This window comes from Homo sapiens, chromosome 2 (assembly GCF_000001405.40).
Source record: "Homo sapiens chromosome 2, GRCh38.p14 Primary Assembly".
Taxonomy (NCBI): domain Eukaryota; kingdom Metazoa; phylum Chordata; class Mammalia; order Primates; family Hominidae; genus Homo; species Homo sapiens.
In genome coordinates, this window is record NC_000002.12 from 134,673,664 (window position 1) to 134,696,179 (window position 22,516).

Sequence of the window (22,516 nt, forward strand, 5' to 3'; positions counted from 1 at the left end):
GACAATGGAAGCAGAAATTGGAGTGATGTAATTGCTGGGTGGAGAGAGCCCACGAGCTGAGGAATGCAGGCAGCCTCTAGAAACTGGAAAGGCAAGAAAGCAGATTCTCCCCAAAGCCTATGGAAAAACACGGTCCTGCCAACACCTTAACTTTAGCCTACTGAGGCTGATCTTGGACTTCTGTCCTTCAGAACTGTCAGATAATAACTTTGTGCGGTTTTAAGCCACTAAGTTTGTGGTCATTTGTCACAGCAGCAATAAGAAACTAATACAAATTACTATACGGAATCAGAATGTTGTACATTTTCATTCCATAACTGTTTAGAATTCTAAAACTGTCTCCTGAGCATCCACAAATAGCAGACTGGTTCCATATATTATGGTGCATATGTACAATGAAGTACCTCACTGCTATCAAGAAGGAAAAAGTGGCTATTGGTCTATTCCTCATTTATGTGAACAAACACATACTTTTGTCAAGGGTATAAATTCTCCCATATCTGAGAGTATACTTTCTGTACATAAATCACATCATACTATACACACTGCTCTCTAACCTGCCTTTTGCACTTAACACATTACATCACAGGTATCAGCCCAGCTTTATAAAAAGTATCTCACACTCATCTCTGGAGGGTAGGATGTGAACGTTGTCAAAATCAAAATAGAGTCATTAATTTTTTTTTTTTTTTTTTTTTTGAGACAGAGTATCGCTCTGTCACCAGGCTGGAGTGCAGTAGCACAATCTCAGCTCACTGAAACTCCCGCCTCCCGGGTTCAAGAGATTCCCCTGCCTCAGCCTCCCAAGTAGCTGGGACTACAGGCGCGCGCGCGCGCGCGCGCGCGCTACCATATCTGGCTAATTTTTTGTATTTTAGTGGAGAAGGGGTTTCACCATGTTGGCCAGGCTGGTCTCAATCTCCTGACTTCGTGATCCGCCCCCGTCGGCCTCCCAAAGTGCTGGGATTACAGGCGTGAGCCACTGCGCCTTGCCGACTAATGTTTAAAAAAAAACAAAACCTGACAAATAGAGCCAAAGAAGGCCATGAAGAGAGGGTTCTCATGCTTGTCTGCCTAATAACAAAAATGATCACAAACGACTGCAAAAACCACAATCTTGCGCAAAGGCCCTCACAACCTTACATTAAAAATACCTCTGCAAGGACATCTACCCAGCAACTGCCTATCCAACCTCAGACTGGCACTACCCTTGTTATTGATCTTTGTAGCCAAAGCTACTTATCTCAAAACAATTATGTCACCCTCTTCATGTTCCTTTAAAAAACCTTTGTGTTCCTTCACCTCCCTGAATACGTACATAATTTGCTATGGCAAGTGTACTCCCATGGCAAAGCTCATTTCCGAGTAAATATCTTTTTCATTTAGAGAGCCTCTCTCTCTGTTTCTTATTCAGGTTGACAGGATTAAGCATCACTTTTACTTTTTATGTACTGATTGAATTTTACAATATGTATTATCGAAAAGAAACACATGAATGTTTCCATTTTGGGGAAGGATCCATTCTCAGGAAAGTTTCCTGTTAAAATTTCATTTTGATCATTACAGAAGGAAAAAATACACACCAAATATTAGTAAACTATAATAAAACACTCAGATCATGCAGTGACTTTTCCTTTTAATAAAAAATAATCAACAAGTGAAAGAAATCTAAACCATGTAGGCATAAGGAGAATTTATATCTGGGTTTAAACTTTAGCCACTTGTATCGCCTGAGGTTTTTCAAAACCTTTATTATTTCCACAATTTCCAGTGTGCCTGACCATCTAATGACTAATCTCACTCAGAGATGTTGACAAAGTAACACACGGGAACAGCAGTAAGATATGTGGCAATGATTTCTCAAGGGACCGATATGCTCAGCTCATAATATGAGAAGGATATGAATAATTCAGATATTCCCTGTCTGAAAAAAAAATGACTTTTAGATATCTAAGCCTAAATCAGATTGAATAAATTAAAGAAGATGAATAAGAAGTAAGGTGGATTCTGTTGCTTAGCTTCACAAGTTACTGTTGCAAATTTCATCCAGAGCTCCCAACAGGGCAGCCTCCAGTGAAACAGCAGCACTAATGAACAAATCCGGTCCCAGGATTTAGGAATCAAATTTTTCTTTCTCAAAAGCAGAAAGGCCATGCAAAAGCAATCACTGATGATTAGCAGACTATCCACAGAGCATAACTCCCCCAAAACAGGAGGCCCTTCAGGTCAGCACCCCAACCCTAAATAGACATGTTAGCTAGCCAGATGCTTCCTGGTGGAGGGAATGTGAGCCTAGCAGATTTCACAGTCAGCCCTCCTGAGCACCCCACCCCACATCAAGACAGTTCTCCTAAGCTCAGCTCTTAATTCAATTGCCTGGAGTAAAACTGACCTGCGACATAAGGTACAACAGAATGGGGCCAGTGGCATGATGGTCAATGTTTCACTGGCTCTCTGGGAGGAAAAAAGGCCCCGACTTGCAGCATTTGCCAATTTCTATGGTGTAAATACACTCTCCCCATTGCCAATTTCAAGCTACCAACTTGACGTCAATTAGCTTGCAAAATACTGAAAATGTAACCATCAGCTCTTGTGAGCCAGCCCACTCCAGTGCACTATTGAGTAGCCCTCCATCCTTTCTCAGAAATATAAAAAATAATCTTCAGAGGCCTGAATCTCCACTCATTCCTATGGGTAAAGTGTTGTTTCTTACATGTCTGTTCTCTCTTTAAGGGACATGCCCTTCCAATGGGTGATACACTGGCTGCATTGTTTAGTACTGCAGTAGATATAGATATATATATAAATATTCATATTTTTTAACATCTTTATTGATATACAATTTATGAACCATACAATTCACTGATTTCCAGTGTACAATTCAATGGTTTTTAGTGTATTCAGAACTGTACAACCATCAGCAGACTTAATTTTAGAACATTTTCATCACTCCTCTGCCCCAAAACATTCTTCTTGTCCTTGGAAGTCCTTGGAAGTGACCTCTCACGGTCCCTCAACAGCCCCAGTCCTAGGCGATCATTAGTCTACTTTCTGCCTCTATACATTTACCTATTCTGGATATTTCACATAAATAGAATCAAGACTTCACATAAATGGAATCAATATCATACAATATCATACATATACATCTAAACATAAAAATATTTGAGACGAACAGACCTTAATGGATAAGCACCATAGGAGCCAGTGCTAAATGAGAAAATTAACTACCCTCATGATTATCTTGTAGAACCAACTGATAAACCACCATAAATAGGGCAGGAAAAAAATACAAGAGTCTGTACTGATGCTTTCTGTCAGCAGCTTTTCTTCTACAGTTCTCTGCAGAAGACATTTTAACCAGATGCAGCCCACCCGAGAGAGAGAGATAAAACACTATGAAAATGTCCACACTCCCTGAGTGTAACTTGTGATGCTCCAAATCAAAGCAGGTCAGCTTCCGGCGACCCTGCTCTTCTCGCTTCCTTCCGCAGACCTCGTGGCTTTGGCGTGCAGAGAATTATGGCTTTGAAGAGGTTTCAGACCCTCACGTTGGGACGGAGGCTGCAGAGCAGTGAGGCCCGCTGGCCTGCGACATGGAGCTATTTTTAAAGGCGTCTCTGAAGTGTCAGCAACTGATCTTGCCAGACCCCCTCCCTCAGAACCAAATCCCACTCCTTATAAGAGAAAGACTACAGAAAAAAGCTTATGCAATCCACACACGAAAAGGCATGGAGAAGACAAAAATAAAAGTGGCAGTGGCCTTTTGAATCATAAAGAAACTACTGGCTTTCAATATAGTTGGATTTTTTTTAAGCCAAGCCATGTATTGCTTTTATAAGCAAAAGAAAAAAGTTAAATTCCTCTTGCGGGGAGCAGGGGGAAGGTACTTTCTGTCTCTGAAAAGTCTTTTTGTAATAAAGTCACCCAAGACCAGCAGTGTATAAAAACTCTATCTATAATATGACCATAGCTATACGTTTCTTAAAATGGATTAAGATTGTAGGAATGAACAAAAAATATTAAAATGGCTGTCCCTGAGATACAGAAGAGTAGAGGATTATTTCCCATTTTTTCCAAAATGATGTGTTACTTCTATAATATTATTTTGTAGTAATTAACTCTGTAATCTTTGTCTTCTTAAATAAATGTACCCCTGTGTCAACAGTTCCTAATGAAATGGGCAGCAGTTCTTCCAATGTCATTGGATACATAGGACCGACCTAATGAGGCCATGAGTTCTCCACATACAGTTTGACAGTAAGGAGAGACTCTGGCCAGGAGACACCCCTCCACGTTCCAGTAAGCCCACCCGCAGCCAAGCACAAAAAACGAAGGCGTGCCAGCAATGCCCAACACAACCTGCAGTGCACTCTTTGTCCTGGTTTCTTTCCGGTCTCAGGGAAGCAGATCGACCCTAGCTAATTGATTCTGCTGCTTCTGCTCCAGAACGTCCATTTTCCTGGACTGCACTGGGCTATTTAAAGTCGTTTTTATCACATCTGCTCCATTTCTGAGTCCAGCTGCAAACACCCACGGGTAAAGGGAGCCACAGAGTGACTGCAGGAACTCCGAGGCTTTACATCCGAGGGGTGCGAGCGCCAGGACAGGGAGCAATCTCACTGTGTAAATCCAGGCAGATGGCTGTTGAGCCTCAAGGTCAAAGCAGTGGCAGTACGCCCTGTCTCATTCTCAAGCCCGTGGAAACACGTGAATCTGTTATTCTCATTGGCTGCCTTTTCAGACTTTAGGGTTGCAAATGGTCTCAGAAAAGAAAAACAGGAAAAGGCTTTTGTCTTTCTGTAAATAAAATACAATTGTAGGGACTTTCCCAGTTTACATATAAATCCTCCCACCAGGATGAGGAAAGGACTGTGCCATCTCCACCTTCTCCTTCCACATATCCGCTGAGAGGGAGGCTGAAGGTCAGAGCAGAGGCCCTGGAATCTTCAGACCTGGGCTCAAGGCCCGTCTCTGCTACTCATAAGCTGTGTCAGCCTGGGGAGTCCTTTCCCATTCCCCAGGTCGACTGGGCTGCAAGTACCAAAAGCAATAGCAAGCCCTGGCACATTTGTATTATTTTTCCAAGCACAAAGCAGGTGATCAATAAATGTCTGCAGAATAAATTAATCATCTCAAGTTATTGGTTTTTCATTGCTTTAAAATTTGAATTTTTATAAAGCTATTTTGTTCTAACTTCAAGTGGATAAGCTACACTTTAATGAGGCTCCTGTATGTGAGAACAGCTATTAATTCAACTGCTGAATGTCAGTCTTTCACCAAGCAGAAAATCTCTTCCAATATCTACCTATGTGTATGAAAATAATGGATTTGTCCACAGAGGTGACAATCAACATATTTAACAACGAGCAGAGCTCTGGCCCCTGTCAGGCATAAGGCACAGTGTCTGTCCCTGGCCTAGGGAAGGTCCCAGAGACCAGGCCAGGCCTCAGCCCTTTCAGCTGCTGGCTGATAGGGACATCCAGAGGATCTGGGGTGGGGGACACAAGGATGGAGGTAAGGGGCTTGGGCAGTGGCTGATTACCAAGTGGTGTTTTAACAATCAGCGGAGCCATGCTGGGGCGCACTCACTGAACAGCAGCCCTGCGGTTCATGAATATGTGTACATGACTATACATATATGTCTGGCCTCATGTGTTTGTTCCATGACTCTAGGACAAACTCATGCACGTTACATCATGCATCATAAGATCAGGAAAGATTTCCTTCCATGAAAACAAGACTGGCATTTCAAGTAGGTGACAGATATATGTCATGGCCTTGCCTAGGCCACCCACTTCAATCATTTTCACACCTGCCTGGCCCCTGTGAGAATTTACACTTAGAACAATTCACCAGAGTGATAGAAGTGAGCGACGCAGTGCTCTGGGTTGGAAGGAAGAGCACTTTGTAAGTAAGTGCTTGCAAAAAGGTAAGATGCATTCAGGAGCTTCCCAGGAGCTTTCGAAGACATTTTATTTGATTCTTACACCTAATCCTGGAAAGGACTTAAGATAGGGATAACTAAACCCATTCTACAAATGACCAAAGAGACGCAGAGATACTCAATCTTACACAAGGTAACAAAGCTAGTAAGAGGTGCCCTGCCTAGAAACATCCCAGACCTTCGTCGCCAGCTCCCACCACCACCCCACAGCTGAATTATGGGGAAGTGATGAGCTCACCCACAAGGTCCCCGCCCACCCTGCCCAGATACTCAGCCATGACTTCCTTCTCTAACCACACCGGCTTCCCCAGCAACCCTAATGGCTCCACCCTATACCTGCCAGAATAAACGTACTTTAAGTTGTTCTGTAAGTGCTAATTCCAACAAAAATACCAAGGAATCCAGGCATACAGAAGGCTCAGAAAATACAGGCAACCTGAGTTTCCATGGCTCTGGGCCAGGTGGCATGATGGCTGAGAAAGTCAGGCTGCTAAGGCAAGACCCTGACTGTTCAGAAGCCTGTTAACTACGTAAATGGCTGCATGAGAAAAGAAGTTTTTCTACATAATGTTTTGGAGCAAAAAATCTTAAATGAGGTCTTAAGAGAATTTTTCATTGTTTTCTAAATAATTAATTACTATTTTCATGAAATTTTCATTTTAAATAAATATTTACCCTCAAGGGATAGATAAAAGGATTAAATTAAAAGACTAAAATCAAAGAAAGGATTTAACACACAAAAATGAGACCTATAAAAAAAAAAAGCTCTGTATGGAGGCTGTAGTGAGGCGAGATCGCACCACTGTACTCCAACCTGGGCTACAGAGCTAGACCCTGTCTCAAAAACAAACAAAAAAACGAACCTTTAAAGTTACTGGTCAAACTTGACTAAATGTCCACCTCTCACAAATCTTTCACTTTCTTATTAACTAAATCATCAAAACCTGTAATTTTCCTCTAGTGTTATATCCCCAAGGGCTCATTATGGACCACATTAATGCGCAAGGTTCTCTCAGTTCTTCTGACAGCTACTTTGTATGTTGGGCAGTTACCCACTCCCTGGCCAGGTCAAAGGAGTAGGGACGGCCCCCATCCCTGCTCAGAGTCTCAGAAAGTTTGGGACAGACAGGGTTTATAATGAGGACATGTTGAGAAAGGCTGGACTGTGGCACTGGAGCCAGAGAGGGGTTCAAGCCCAGCTTCGCCACGTGTCAGCTGTGATCGTGGGCAAGTTACTAACCTCTCCATACCTCCATTTCTCTGTGGAGTTGTCATGAGAATTACACAAAAGCACATGAAGAGCTTAGTTTGCCTGGCACACAGTAAGCGTAAAGATGAGCTTCTCAACCTCTGGAAACTATTGGAATAAAAGTAGTTCAATAGCACACATTCAATAATCCAGGATGGAGCCGCCACCCATCTTTATAACCACTTGGATCAACTGCCTGAGATTCTTGGGTCATTCAAGGGTGCCTTAATAGTTCCCATCATTTCCCAAGTCATCCTCTTCCCTCCATCCAACTTATACTGCCGGCTCATAGAAGCCTCTCCTTTCTCCAAATGTCCAACACAGCCACCCAGCAGTGCACCCCACTGCAAAGGGTCACCGTGGCCATCTCTGACAGGCACGTCTGGTCATGCCTCTCTCCAGTCTGACCTCCTTTGGTGACCCCGATGGGTACTGATAGAGTCTCAGTTCCATGCCGGGAAGGCTGGCTATGCATTACCTGCCTCCTACCCTCTTCTCCAGCTCAGCCTCACAGCTCTTCCCACACAAACCGCATTCCAGTGTCCCGGTCAAGCTCAGCCAACCACTGGCAATTGCCCAGATGCAAAGGCCTTTGAAGAACTCTGCCTTCTTGCCCCACAGCGTACACACACAAAACCTCTTTCTCTCTACCCCCCACTCTTTCTCTTTCTCTCTCTTTCTGCCCCAACCCCCTACATCCCATGCAAACAGGAATAGAAGCCTCCGTCTGTAAGTCCTACCACTCAGCTTCTATAAGTCACACAGGTTATCATGCCTTCTTTTAGCAGAGCATCACCTCCAGGAGACAGTATACTCTTGGTTTACAAATCATCCCACACTGCATTCCTCCTGATGACCCTGGTTCCCAGCACATGGCAACTTCAATCAGGGTGTGTGGAATGGACAAATAAACAGGTCACCAACAAGCACCTTCTTCAAGAAACAAAACAGCCTGATGCCCACCTACTGCCAATTTAGTTTTCACATACCCCAAAGCACCTTGGAAGTAGGCATATTTTCACAAATGTACATTTAGAACCCAGATTCAAAGGAAACTTCTAAAACAATTGGCTTGGGGGAGGGGGACACACATTACACACAGCAGAAATCTTACTACAGCAAACACGCAATTAAGAGATGCCTAAGAAAACAAATACAGAATCTGCATTCAATTAACCCAAAGGATCCTACGTAGTCTTTCAGCCTTTCTCAATTGGGATGCCTCATCTGACCTACAGAGCACAGAAAATGACTGGTGTGAGTTTTCTCAATTCTCCCAGGCATGGTACATGGCTACTGCTATTCTTGATGCATGGGACTGCGGTTAATCCATCACATACAACACTCTTCTCAGGGTATTAGAGCTTACATCTCTTGCAGAACCCAGGTTGAGAAAGGCTGAGGGAGGGGGATTTTCTCATACATTTTTATTCACTTTCCCTTATCACTTCACAAAGCTGCAACTTCTCTTCTTGTTTGGGGAGAGGCCAAGAACACACACAGGTCATGCTCAGCTTATTTTGCAGGGTCAAAGCTGTGTCTCAGTCTGCTGACCATTTCTTGTGTCAGCAGCATCCTCAGTAAACTGAGGTGAGTAGGGGCCATCCCTTTATACGGAAAGAAAACTAATGAGAAAGTAGGCCCAAGTCTACAGCACCACAGGCTAAGAGCGTGAAGAGCCTTGGGAGAGTTCTTCATTCTCACACTTACAAATATAATTAAAACAACGAGCTACCATAACACACCTATTAGAATGACCAAAATCCAGAATACTGTCAACACCAAACACTGATGAATAGGTGGAGCGACAGGAACCCTCATTCATTACTGCCGGGAATACAAAATGGTGCAGCCACTTTGGAGGACAGTTTGGCAGTTTCTCACTCTTACCAAAAATTGTGCTCCTTGGTATCTACCCAAAAGAGTTGAAAATTTATGTCCATACAAAAACCTGCACACAGATGTTTATAGCAGCTTTATTCACACTTGCCAAAAACCTGGAAGCAACCAAGATGTCCTTCAGTAGATGAGTGGATAAACTTTGCTACATCCAGGCAATGGAATGTTACTCAGTGCCAAAAGGAAATGAGCTATCAAGCCAGGAAAAGACACGGAGGAACCGTAAACGCATATTGCAAAGAGAAAGAAGCCAAACTGAAAAGGCTACATACTGTATGATTTCAACTGTATGACATTCTGGAAAAGACAAAACTATAGAAACAGGTTACCTAAAGGGAGGAGAAGATGAATAGGTGAAAGATGGGATTTTTAGGAGAGTGAAGATACTCTACATGATACTATAATGGTGGATACATGTCATTGTACATTTGTTCAAACCCACAGAATGTACAACACCAAGAGTGAGCCCTAATGTAAATAATGGACTTTGGGTGATAATGATGTGTCTGTGTAGGTTCATCAAGTGTAACAAATGCACCACTCTGGTGGGATCTATTGATAACGGGGGGAAGCTATGTGTTTATGGGGGCAGAGTATATGGAATATCTCTGTACCTTCCTCTCACATTTGCTGTGAACCTAAAACTGCTCTAAAAAAGTCTTTAATTTAAAAAAAAAAAAAAGAAAAGAAAATGGAAACCTAAACTAAACTCATTTGTGAAGCCATAAACCACCAGAACAACTTTTCTGATCATAGAGCAAACAACAGGGGTGGCAATTACAAAACATGAATAACTTGACACTATTACCTAAATTTCTGCTTATTAGTGGTTCTGCAACTCTGCTGACTAAATCCATAATAAGTCATGCTGATTACTGGGCATGCTGAATGACAGGCCTTACTCATTCCTCTGTCTCCACCACAGACCCTGGCTCAATAGCAGGTGTTTAGTAGACGCTGGGAGGGAAGGAGGAAGAAGTTTATCAGATTTTGCTATGAAAACAAATATGGCCAGCAACAGGCAAAAGGGCAATGATAGCAACTAGAGTGACTCATTTCTGCAATTCCCTGAACTTGACACGTCAACACCAAGGTCATCATTGGGGGAAACACAGAACAAACACTTTTAGCACTGGTGACTATGGACATAATATGCCCTCAATTTATAGAGGCCTCTGAAGGGTACAGTTTAACTTCTGGTCAATTCAAAGCAGTAAAATGGGCATTTTACCAGCAATGACTAATGATAATCACTGCCATTTATTTGTGCTAAAATGACCTAAGCAGTTGCATGTGTTAGGACCAATACTCACCATGTCCTGGAAGTAAGTACTATTATCTTGCTTTACTGATGAGGAAAGCAAGACCTATAACAAGGTTTAGTGACTTGTTCAAGGTCACAGAACAAACAAACAGCTCTTGGTCTTTGCCTGATGATATATACCACTCCCCTGATTCTCTTAACAAATGTTGAAGTGAGCACCTTCTATCTGCGAGTAAATGAAAAGATGTATCAAGCATAAACCTTACCATCGAGAGGCTTCACTAGTGAAGGTTACAGACGTACCCAACTACCACCTACAGGCAAAATGAGCCCCAGCTAAAACCACAGGCAGCAGTGCTGTGGGATGGTAATTATTAATAATTCTGCGAGCATGAGTGAAGGCTCAGGTGGTGCCTTGAAGGAGCTGAAGGTTTCTCCAAGGCCAAGGACAATGGGAAGAGGTTTTCTTCTGAGGGAACCCCATGAGCAAGGGGCACCTCGGAGTCTGAGCTATCAGCTAATGAGGCTGCACTTCAGAGGTATCAAATAAAAGGGCACAAGAATAGGATGGAGCCCCACACCCTCAGTGTTTTGGGAACACAGAGAGATACCTTAAAAGCAGGCCGGGCGAGGTGGCTCATGCCTGTAATACCAGAACTTTGGGAGGCCGAGGCAGGTGGATCATGAGGTCAGGAGATTGAGACCATCCTGGCCAACATGGTGAAACTCCATCTCTACTAAAAATACAAAAATTTGCCAGTGTGGTGGTGGGCACCTGTAGTCCCAGCTACTAGGGAGGCTGAGGCACGAGAATTGCTTGAACCCGGGAGGCGGAGGTTGCAGTGAGCCAAGATTGTGCCACGGCACTCCAGCCTGGGAGACAGAGCAAGACCCTGTCTCAAAAAAAAAAAAAAAAAAGAAAAAGCAGAATGAATTAGCTCCCAAGAGAATGGCCTACACAAACACGGCACTCCAAGAACGTCCATCCTCTCCCACCTAACTCTCAAACTTCATGTCCACACCTTGCTGATGTTATACTAAGATTAAAAAGGAACTACTTCTCCAAACCCTCCCTTGGGTGCTGAGTTGACAAGGTAATTGACAGAATATGTCTTCTCTCAAGGGTCAAACAGTATTAACGTTTAAAGATCCTGGCTGAGTCAGCTTCTGAAGCCACTCATTGCATCTTAAAGATGTCTGACCCTTAAGAATAACTGTTTCTAAAATTCCCATTTAGTTGCTCTAGATTTCCACTATAAACCCACCACTCACAATTCTCTTGCTTTATATAAGTCATCATAATATCCTAATAGCATATTAATTTCTAATCCAGAAAGAGCTGTGAGTAGGTAGAAAACAACAAACCAATAATTGGATCTGTAACTTGAAGTCTTTTTATCATGAGCAGTTTTGGGAGAGCAATTTTGCTCTTTGCTAAGTGAAGCAATTCAGAATGCTAGGAATACTAAATTATGGACATGAATTATTTATGAGTAATAAAGCATAATTTAGCATAATGTTACTATTTGAGTTATAAAATAAGGTACTTTCAAGAAAAGTCACTGTAAGGTCCAAGGTTAGCCTAATTAGATCTGGAGAACCCGTCACCACAGCTCCTGCTTTCCCACTTGCCCCCATCAGCATTTTATGCAATCATTATAAAACTTACAAAGGGAACATGGAAGAAACACCACCAAAACTAAGAATTCTCTGTCCAAAAATAAAACATACAATCATCATTAAACCCATTTTCTGAAATGACCACCTCATAGATTCTTGGGTATGATTACACTCTCCATTACCTACTTAGGGACAGCAAATAGGTTTTGCATTCACTTGTACTTTTTCATTACAAGAAATGGAGATTCCAACCCCGAATGGCCTAAGCAAAAAGGAAATGTATTCACTCATGTCACACACACCAACAAATGTCTAGAACAAGACTATCTTCAGCTATAGCTTGATTTAAAGACTCTGCCAGCCATATACCTGTCTGTCCTGTCACAGAAATGGCTGCCACAGGTCCTGGTGTCATACCCAGAGTCCAGCCAGGAGGAAAGGAGTGGCATCTGGGTCCACTTGTCTCTTTTATCAAAAAAGGACAAACCTTCCCTGAACCCAGCTGCCCTCCCCACCCCAGCCTGATAAGCCTCTACTCACATTTCACCTGCCAGAAGTTTTCCATAGCCACCTGGACTGCAGGAAAGGCTGGGGAAAAGAAAAGGTAAAAGCTTTTTAAGTGAACGGCTTATCCAACCTCCACAGCAGGTGGAGGAAGGGAGAGGAGGCCATGAATATGGGTTGCGAAGCCTGCCCCCGGGCTCAACCATGCAGCCTAGAGCCTAAAAAGCAATCCGTACATATTAAAGCAGGATGGTGGTGGCTTCCAGGGGCAGAACCCCAGTCAAAAGAAAGAACTGCTAGGTTATATGACAGCTGACTCGTGAGTTGTGTTTTCTGTATTATAGAGCTGTCAAAAAGCAAGGGACTACTTGACCAGAGTAAAAGAAAACTCACCAACTAAAAATTTTTCAAAGGCAGTGATTGACTTATGGGGCCAAAAAGGAGGTAGAATCATAGCATGCTACTCGGCTCATCATGATACAATTTTTATGCAGTAAAAATTATAAATACATTTGATACAAATTTAACCAAAGATTGTAATACTAAGAAATTTGGAGGCGTGGAAGTGAAAAGCTGTGAAGGATCAGAGATTTTACCCTACTTGCAAGGTAACAAGTTAGTCAGCCAGTTTCATGAATGCTGGCAGAAGACATGAGATTTTTGGGTCAGAGACAAAGGGCGATTTATTACTCACAGCAATAGTAGTAGCCAGAGAATCAGCATTTCTGCCTTGGTTTCCTAAGTCCCCATTCCCCTGGCCATCCAAAGAAGTGCAGATGAAAATTGCAGACACAGTGAGTTACACTACAGGAGAGGAACCCAAGCTTAGGGAAGCTGATTTTTTCACAATGGGCAATAAGCCCATAACATCTCTATCTTCCAAAGCTATAAGCAAACTGCCTTTTGCTCTGGCGGAAGACACTATATCATCCAAGACTATACAAACATCCTTGAAAAAGTAGTCAGAAAGAAAGCGAGTTAGTACCTCTACTTGCAAGATGGCCAGAAATGTGTGAGACCCAGGAAGAATCATCTCCCAGAAAGGAAGAGAGTAAAAATCTCCACTTGCTAAAATAGGTCCACAGAAATGCCAAAACGTGATGGCTTTTAGAAATGGGGTTGACAAAAAAAGCACAGATAAAATGTTGGGAAGAGTTGCTTCTCGGGTAAGAAGTAGCCATGGGAGGTGGAGAGAGGGAAAAGGACCCACAGGGATCTGTTTTTTGTGATCAACTTTAGCACTATTTCACTTAAATCATGAGCACATATTATGCTGATAAACAAAATCAATGTTAAAATATGTATAAGTTTAATAACAATGCACAATGAATGTATATTCATCTGCATATACAATTTCAACAATGTCATGAAAATGCTGAACATCAGAGGCCTCTCTAAAAGTGATGCAGTGTGGCTGTGACAAAGTGAATATGGCGAAGGTGGCAAAACTCGTTCTTAAATGCCATTCAACTGTGCAATGCATGATTCAGGTAACAGCTCAGTAAAGTTATTCCAAGTGGAGGTTAATTCATTATAAATCACATACTGTGACCAGCACCCTACTTAGATACCCTGGACTTTTTCATCAGAAAAGACATCAGTGTGGTAAAAGGCAGAACCTAGCTTATCAACCAATAATGTAATGTTTAACTCTATGCAAGGCACCATGGGATGACATAAAAGTATCAAGACAATTCCCAAACTTAAGGAGCTTAATTATTGGTTGCCAACAGCACCCACCAACTCTAATTAACAAACAGAAAAGGGATTTACATGGGGAAGAGTTCTGAGTTCAGCTGACTGGAAGACTGGCAAAACAAGCTCAGGAAGGGCATAGGAACCAAGGAAGGCCAGATACTGGAAACACAGCAGAGAGCATGGCCAGACCACTCCAATAACAAAGCCACTACCGGCCGCTCAACACCAAGGCACCTGACTTCTGGCTGCGCAGCAAGCTCCCCACTGCGCACCAGACACTGCTGTCATCTCCAATGCGAAGGAACCTCAAAAGACACTCCTGCCAGACTCACAACCCCAAGCAGGAGCTTCTCACTGGTTCTGCTTCAGTTATGTGCCTCGGCCCGAGCTGCAAGCATCTTGAGAAATAAGTTTCTTCCAGCCTCCCAGAGCCCTGCTTCCCCTCCCACCAAGACACAAATGGTGGGTGTCTCCAAACTCATGAAGAGGTTCAAAGGTCGGCTGCCAGAAAACAAATCAAAATGAATGTCACCTTGGTGGGTGTACCGAATACACATAAAAAGTCAATAATCGACCTATGACAAATTAGAAATAATCTCTCTAGTCCTTATAAATTTCCTCCTTATACAAATTCCTAGATTCTCTCAGTCCTTCTACCGGGGAATATATTAATCTTCAAAATATTCCTAAACAGGAAAGAGTAATTAGGTAATATATTACTTGGAGTTTGGAAGAGAAATAATTTTAGTTCTCCCACCACCCAAATCCCTCAGCTGTAACTATTTCTCCACTGGAGACATTCATAGACACTCTACATATTTCCTGCAACAGACATTGAGCAGCAATGGAAGAAATGACCTTCAATCTTCATCAAAGTATTAATCCTGTTCTAATGTCTTATAATACTAAGCAACAGATTATCTTCCTTTCAGGACTCAGACACACCGCCCCACTCCCTCCTCCCTGCTACCACACACGCACACTCTCTTTGGAACTATGGTATCCACTAGCCACATGTAGGTACTGAGTACATGAAACGTGGCTAAGTGGCTAGTCCAAACTGAAATGTACTCCATGTGTAAAGCACACACTGGATTCCAAAGATTTCACATGAAAAATAGAATGTAAAATATCTCAATAATTCTTATATTTTATTACCAAGTATAATATTTTGGATATACTGGGATAAATAAAAATATCAGCAAAATTAATTTTATGTTTCTTTTTACTTCTTTGTTTAATGGAGTGCCTAAGTTTTTTGTTTTGTTTTTTTTTTTTTTTTGAGATGGAGTCTCGCTCTGTCACCCAGGCTGGAGTGCAATGGCATGATCTTGGCTCACGGCAACCTCTGCCTTCCAGATTCAAGCGATTCTCCTATCTCAGCCTCCCAAGTAGCTGGGATTACAGGCATGCATCACCACGCCTGGCTAAGTTTGTATTTTTAGTAGAGATGGGGTTTCACCATGTTGGTCAGGTTGGTCTCAATCTCCTGACCTCAGGTGATCTGCCTGCCTCGGCCTCCCGAACTGCTGGGATTACAGGCATGAGCCACCATGCCTGGAGACAATTTTTAATTACACATGAGAGTCACATTTGTGACTAGAATTATATTTTGTTTCTATTGGACAGCACTGGTCTAGGGACTCAGCTCACTTCCCCAAATGACTAGCACTGTGACATCCTCTCCAACTGCCCACTCCTGAGAGGCCTGCTGCCACTCAAAGGAACTCAGAGGTCCAGAAACTTCCAGGGAGGCCTGCTTCAGGGATGGGGCTTCCTTGAGGAAAACAAGATGAGAGAGGTGGGGGAAACGTTCACAGTTCATCTCTCCCTAGTGCACATGAATGAGTTCAGAGGAAAAGATACAGTTAGAAAAACTAATAGCTTGTGCTTTTATGACCAAATGTTATGGCTTCCTAAATTTTAACAGCCAAATGTACCACAAAGTTACACATTTTAACTTTATTTCAAATAAACACCCAAGCAAATATAGGTCCCCATCAAAAATGTGGTTTCTCCAAAGAACGGCATGCAGAGCCCAAAAGTAAAAGTCAACTTGCTCCTTTGCGGTTTGTTTGTTTGTTTGTTTGTTTGTTTGTTTTTGGAGGCAGAGTCTCACCCTGGCACTCAAGCTGGAATGCAGTGGTGTGATCTCGGCTCACTGCAATTTCCACCTCCTAGGTTCAAGCAACTCTCGTGCCTCAGCCTCTGAAATAGCTGGGACTACAGGCACGCACCACCATGCCTGGCTAATTTTTGTATTTTTAGTAGAGACAAGGTTTCGGCATGTTGGCCAGGCTGGTCTCCAACTCCTGACCTCAAGTGATCCACCCGCCCCGGCCTCCCAAAGTGCTGGGATTACAGGGGTGAGCCACCGTACCCGGCCTCTTTGCATTTATATACACTGGATATCCATCAAGTTATCAAACTTTACCTACATCAGCAATTTTTTTTTTTTTGAGACAGAGTCTCACTCTGTTGCCCAGGCTGGAGTGCAGTGGCATGATCTTGGCTCACTGTAACCTCCACCTCCTGGGTTCCAGCAATTCTCCTGCCTCAGCCTCCTGAGTAGCTGGGATTACAAGTGTGTGCCACCATACCTGGCTAATTTTTTAATTTTTAGTAGAGACAGGGTTTCACCATGATAGCCAGGCTGGTCTTGAACTCCTGACCTCAAGTGATCCGCCAGCCTCAGCCTCCCAGTGCTGGGATTACAGGCATGAGCCACCGCACTCAGCCTATATCGGCAATTTATAAAGGAGAAAAGTCACAAATCAAGGTGAAGGATGGATTTCATTTACCACAAGAAAAGCCACTGAATTCTTCAGAGCCTTGAGCAAACTATGAAAAAACCCAATCCTTCCCTCTGACACAATTAAGAACTTCATGACTTTGGCTTTCTTTACACAGCTATTCTCAAGGCTGACTAATTAGACCTTGTATAATCACAGTTGTGGCCATTCCCACCAGTGTAAAGCCTAATACTAGCAAAATGCAAATATCAGTGAAACGGAAATACACTACTAAAGTAAAGACAGGGCCCTGGATAACGACTTTGAGAGACAACTTCCTCATTCATTTATTCAAGAAACCCTGACTACCCATCTACCTGGTCCAGGCAATCGGTGCCCCAGGGGTGGGTGACAAAACGGAGGAGATCAGGTCCCACACTCCAGGCGCTCACAGTGTGGCTGGCGGGAATGGTAGTCAGGGGTGGGGGAGGCACTCTGCCAATCACTGGGGAAATAGGAGGGCAGTGGTTCATACAAACAGCAGTGAGGGCCTCAGCAGGGAGCAGCCAACTCTCCCAGAGCAGGACTTTGGGGAGAACAGGGGAGAAATCAAAATGCCTGGTGAGTTCCAAGAACAAGGGTAGCAAAGCCCCCTCTTCATCTCTCTGCTGCTGGCCTTCTGCAGAAAAGGGGATCTCAAGTCAGCACCTGTCATTCCACAAGTAGACCCGTGTCCCTGGAGGAGCAGTCAAGTCACTGAGTCTGCCTAGCGTAGGCACCAAACATCAAGAAGCCCTTGTGGCTGTACTGAGAGCCCCATTCTCCAATCCGGGTTTCTCAGCCATGAAGCTGATATTTTGCTTTCCCTCTGTTTGACTCCTCTCTGGTTCTGAACTTGGGAAGAGAAAATGAATGTTATTCATTGTATTTCCAAACAACTCTATTGTAAATACACACACACGTGCATGTACACATACACATGCTCATACAGACATGCACACATGCGCACGTACACCCTTGTCAGACAACCCTAGGTGCCGCCAGGCTTCTCCAATAGACAGCACTATGCTGACAGTCCCTTTCCTTCTCCAATGCTCATGCCCATCTCTTGGCAACCTGGCTTCCTTGTTTACCACTCTGACAAAATGTTCTCTGCAGAGTCACAAAGTGACATCCTAAACACCAACTCCAATGAACAGTCTCCTCAGCCTTGACCCTGGCTGGCATGTAACATCGCTGGTCACACCTTCTTGAAGTGTTGTATTTGCCTTTCTGTATCCTTGTACAATCCTTGCTCCACATCCTAATCCCTAGAACCTGTGCACGTTACCTTAATAAGCAACAAATAGGATTGAGGCAGGGGCTGCAGTGGATATCTTTGCAGATGTGATTAATTTCAGAACCGTAGCAGGAGTGATGACCCTGAGTTATCCAGGTGGGCCTTAAATGCCATCACAAGTGTCCTCATAAGAGACAGGTGGAGGGAGATTTGACACAGGGAGAAGTAGAGAGAGATTTGAAGATGCCAGCCTTAAAGACTGGAGTGATATGCCCATGAGCCAAGGAATGCCAGCAGCCACCAAGAACAGAAGAAACAAAGAAAGTATTCTTCCCTACACCTCTGCAGGAGCACAGCCCTGCTGACCCTTCACTTCAGCCCAGCGATCCTGATTTTGGACTTCTGGTCTCCAGAAATGTGAAAGAATAAATAGATCTTGTTATTAGAAGCCACCAAGTTTGCAGTCATTTGTTACAACAGCCAGAGAAAATGAATACATTCCCTTCAACTTTTCTGACCTCTATGTCTTCCACTAGTTCCTTATCATCTTCCTACCCCAAGAGAAGTCATTCTCCAAATTCTGTCCTTTGCCGTTTCCCCTCCTTAGTCTGCTTGGGCTGCCATAACAAAATACCACAGGCTGGGGGACTTCAACACCATGAATTTATTTCTCACAGCTTTGGAGGCTGGAAGTCCAAGATCCAGGGGCTGGGAGGGTTGGTGTCTGGGGAGGGCTCCCCGTGGGTTCCAGATGGCTGCCTCCTCACTGCGTCCTCACACGGCCGTTCCTCAGTGCAGAGGGTGGAGGCAGAGAAGAAGCAAGCCCTCTGGTGTCTCTTCTTATAAGTGCACAATCCCATCACGAGAGTCCTGCCCTCATCACCTCATCATCCTCATGACCTTGTGTAAACTGAGCCACCTCCCAAAGCCTCCCCCTCCAAATACCATCACACTGTGGGTGACAGCTTCACATATTTATTTTGAGGAATACAATTCAGTCCAAAGCAGTTCCTCTCTCCTCCTCATGATCCCAGGCTACTTCACCCATCCACCACATTGCCTCAGTCATTGCCCTAAAGCAAAACACTCCCAAATCCATCTTTCTTCCAGCACCTCAGTCACGTTCCAGTTGCAGGTTTCCAACTGATCATCAGTTGTCTCCTTCCCAAAGTACTGCCAGGCCATAACCCAGCATCTTCACACTGAAGACATCTCTGGACCCCCCTGTGCCTCAGCCTCCACAGTGCCACAGAACCCTTGCTTTGTCTCTAATCCCTTATTTCTTTTAGAGATTCTGCCCTCCCCACCCTCTAGGCTCTGGAACTCTTTACTCTCCCTCTTCATCCAGAAACCTTGAGTATTAGCAGATACTGATATGGGCCCTGCTTGAAGAGTAAGACATTTAAAAAAATAAATTTTAACATTGGTTTAAAACTCCAGCAATTGTAGGTGATCAAAAACTGAAACCTTTCCAGACGTGGTGGCTCATGCCTGTAATCCCAGCACTTTGGCAGGCCAAGGCGGGTGGATCACCTGAGGTCAGGAGTTCGAGACCACCCTGGCCAACATGGCGAAACCCCATCTCTACTAAAAATAGAAAAAAATTAGCCGGGCATGGAAGCATGTGCCTGTAATCCTGGCTACTCAGGAGGTTGAGGCAGGAGAATTGCTTGAGCCCAAGAGGCAGAGGTTGCAGTGAGCCAAGATTGCAACACTGCACTCCAGCCTGGGCAACAAGAGCAAAAACTACATCAAAAAAAAAAAAAAAAAAAAAACCTGAAACTGAGCCTACAGCATGATGGAGCTTTTAAAAACAAATCAACCTTGACCTGCTTTGGTAGGAATTACTGTGAATTCCATACCTGTCAGATAGCAGGTCTACTATATTCTCTGTTGATGACATGACTTAGAAGACACCTCTGGGCACTGCTTTAAACAGGACACCTTTAGGTCCAGACAAGGTTGGCCAGGAGAGTGGGTTTCCTCCTACATGAGGAACAGCTGAAGAGTCTGGGGATGTTCAGTCTTTGGAAGAGGTGACAAAACAACACAATAAGCTCGCACTGCAGATCTGTCTTGTGAACAATGGAGATGGGTCCCATGGTTGAGAGTAGAGGCTCTGAGTCAAGTAGGGCAGAGTGTGAATACTCTATCTCTTATGAGCTTGGAAACTTAGGAAAGCTCCCTAACTTTTCTGAGTCTTAAAATCCCCATCTACAAAGTGGGGATGATAATGTTACCTCAGGGCAATGTTGCAAGAATGAAGTGTGATCTGTGGGAAGCACTTAGCACAGTGCCCAGCATACTATGTGCTTGCTAAGTGTTAGCTAAGAAAATAATGACTATAAAAGAGGAGTTAGAAAAAGGTAAACCATTCAATTAACCATTTAAAAAGCTTTCTGAAATTGGGACTGGGCAACATAAACTGGGTCTCGCTAAGTTATTAGAATCCCAGTACTAGAAGTATTCAAACAAAAGCTGAAGAACTATTGGAATTGACCTAAAGAGGGTAACGAATCTCTAATGATGGCATCTGGGAAGAATGGCACTGCCCATACTGGAGAACTAAAGGACTAGTGTCATTATCATGGTGACTTTATCACTTAAAGGTACTGAGATTTACTTACCACTAAGAACTTATTTCACCAGAAATAAATCACATCTGTCCTTGCTTTGGATAAAAAAATGGCCATCTTTTGTAATGCAGAATTCATTCCCTAAGAATGCTCTCTTTATGGGACATGTAAAGTTTAAGCTTCTCCTTTCAGGAGACTGGTACATCAATTACTCTGTAATAAATATCTATTCAGTTCTGATACCATATCTCCTCATTCACACTGAAGAATAACCTGGGATTAGATCCAAACTCTCACAAAATGACTATATACACACATTATTCTTTAAAAAATATAGCAGAAAGTTTCCATTTTGAAAATGTACTTTATCAAATGAACAAAGATCAACTGACATCTAAAAATACTACAATGTCTCTAAGTATAATTAACTGGAATGCCAGAAATCTCCCGGGATAAATAAAAGCATAATGTAAAAGGAACCCAGGTAAAAAGAAATACAAACTCCACGGTTTTCTGGAAAGAAAAAAACTGGTGGTGAAAGTTTTTTTATTTCCCTGAATTCCTCCTTAAAGACATCAGAAAAACTAAAATAGCAAAACCAATAACAAAGCTAATACTTTTAGAGAACTAAATGATGGAAAGGAGGAAAAAAAAATTTTTTTTGAGACGGAGTCTCGCTCTGTCACCCAGGCTAGAGTGCAGTGGTTCAATCTCGGCTCACTGCAACCTCCGCCTCCCGGATTCAAGCAATTCTCCTGCCTCAGCCTCCTGAGTAGCTGGGATTACAGGTGCCCATCACCACACCTGGCTAATTTTTTGTATTTCCAGTAGAGATGGGGTTTCACCATGTTGGCCAGGCTGGTCTCGAACCCCTGACCTCAGGTGATTCACCCATCTCGGCCTCCCAGTAGCTGGGATTACAGGCGTGAGCCACCGTGCCCGGGCAAATTTTTAATCAAAAAGAAATGAAAAATAAAAATGATGTGGAAAAAAATACTAGATAAAAATGACAAGCAAAAAAGAGCCAACATACACATACATTATAAATCCCTAAGGAATTAAATCAAAGCAACAGAACAGAACAAATACTATAAAAACTGTAGTTTTCTTGAACTAGAAAGACATGAAACTACCTTTTACCTGAAAAAAGTTAACCCAGAAGAGCTATTACCAAGATACAGTTGTTTTATATAGTGTTTTCTGTGCCCAAAGTTCTTCTTAGTCAGCTTGAAGTTAAATTTTTTGAAGTTTCTATTCATGGTTTGTGCTTTCTGTGTCTTAAATTCAAAAGCCTTTCTTTTACTTCCAGGTCAAATGGAGAGTCTCATATTATTGTTTAAAAGTTTTGGTTGGGCATGGTAGCTCATGCCTGTAATTGGGAAGCCAAGGCAGGCAGATCACCTGAGGTCAGGAGTTCCAGACCAGCCCGGCCAATATGGCGAAACCCCGTCTCTACTAAAAATACAAAAAATTAGCCAGGCGTGGTGGTGGGTGCCTGTAATCCCAGCTATCAGGAGGCTGAGGTAGGAGAATTTCTTGAACCTAGGAGGCGGAGGTTGCAGCAAGTCGAGATCATGCCATTGCACTCCAGCCTGGGCAACAAGAGAAAGACACCGTCTCAAAAAAAAAAAAAAAAAGGTTTAAATTCTTTCTTTTCAGGTTTAGTTTCTTAAATCACATGGAATTTATATTTGTATATGTGGGAGGTACAAACTTATTTTAGTTTTTCCATATAGACAGCCAATTGT

The 22,516-nt window shown here is 43.1% G+C and overlaps 1 protein-coding gene across 1 annotated transcript in view, besides 1 other annotated feature; it reads right to left on the bottom strand.

Moving 5' to 3' along the window:
* Positions 1 to 22,516, bottom strand: part of TMEM163 (transmembrane protein 163) — a 263,242-nt gene that overhangs the window by 217,905 nt on the left and 22,821 nt on the right. The gene's annotated exons all lie outside the window — the stretch shown is intronic.
* Positions 10,091 to 10,160: an enhancer, noted in NCBI's record as "active region_16564". NCBI's record gives its function as "activates an Ori minimal core promoter by ATAC-STARR-seq in GM12878 lymphoblastoid cells {active_cell/tissue: GM12878}" and the evidence as "EXISTENCE:reporter gene assay evidence [ECO:0000049][PMID:35858748]".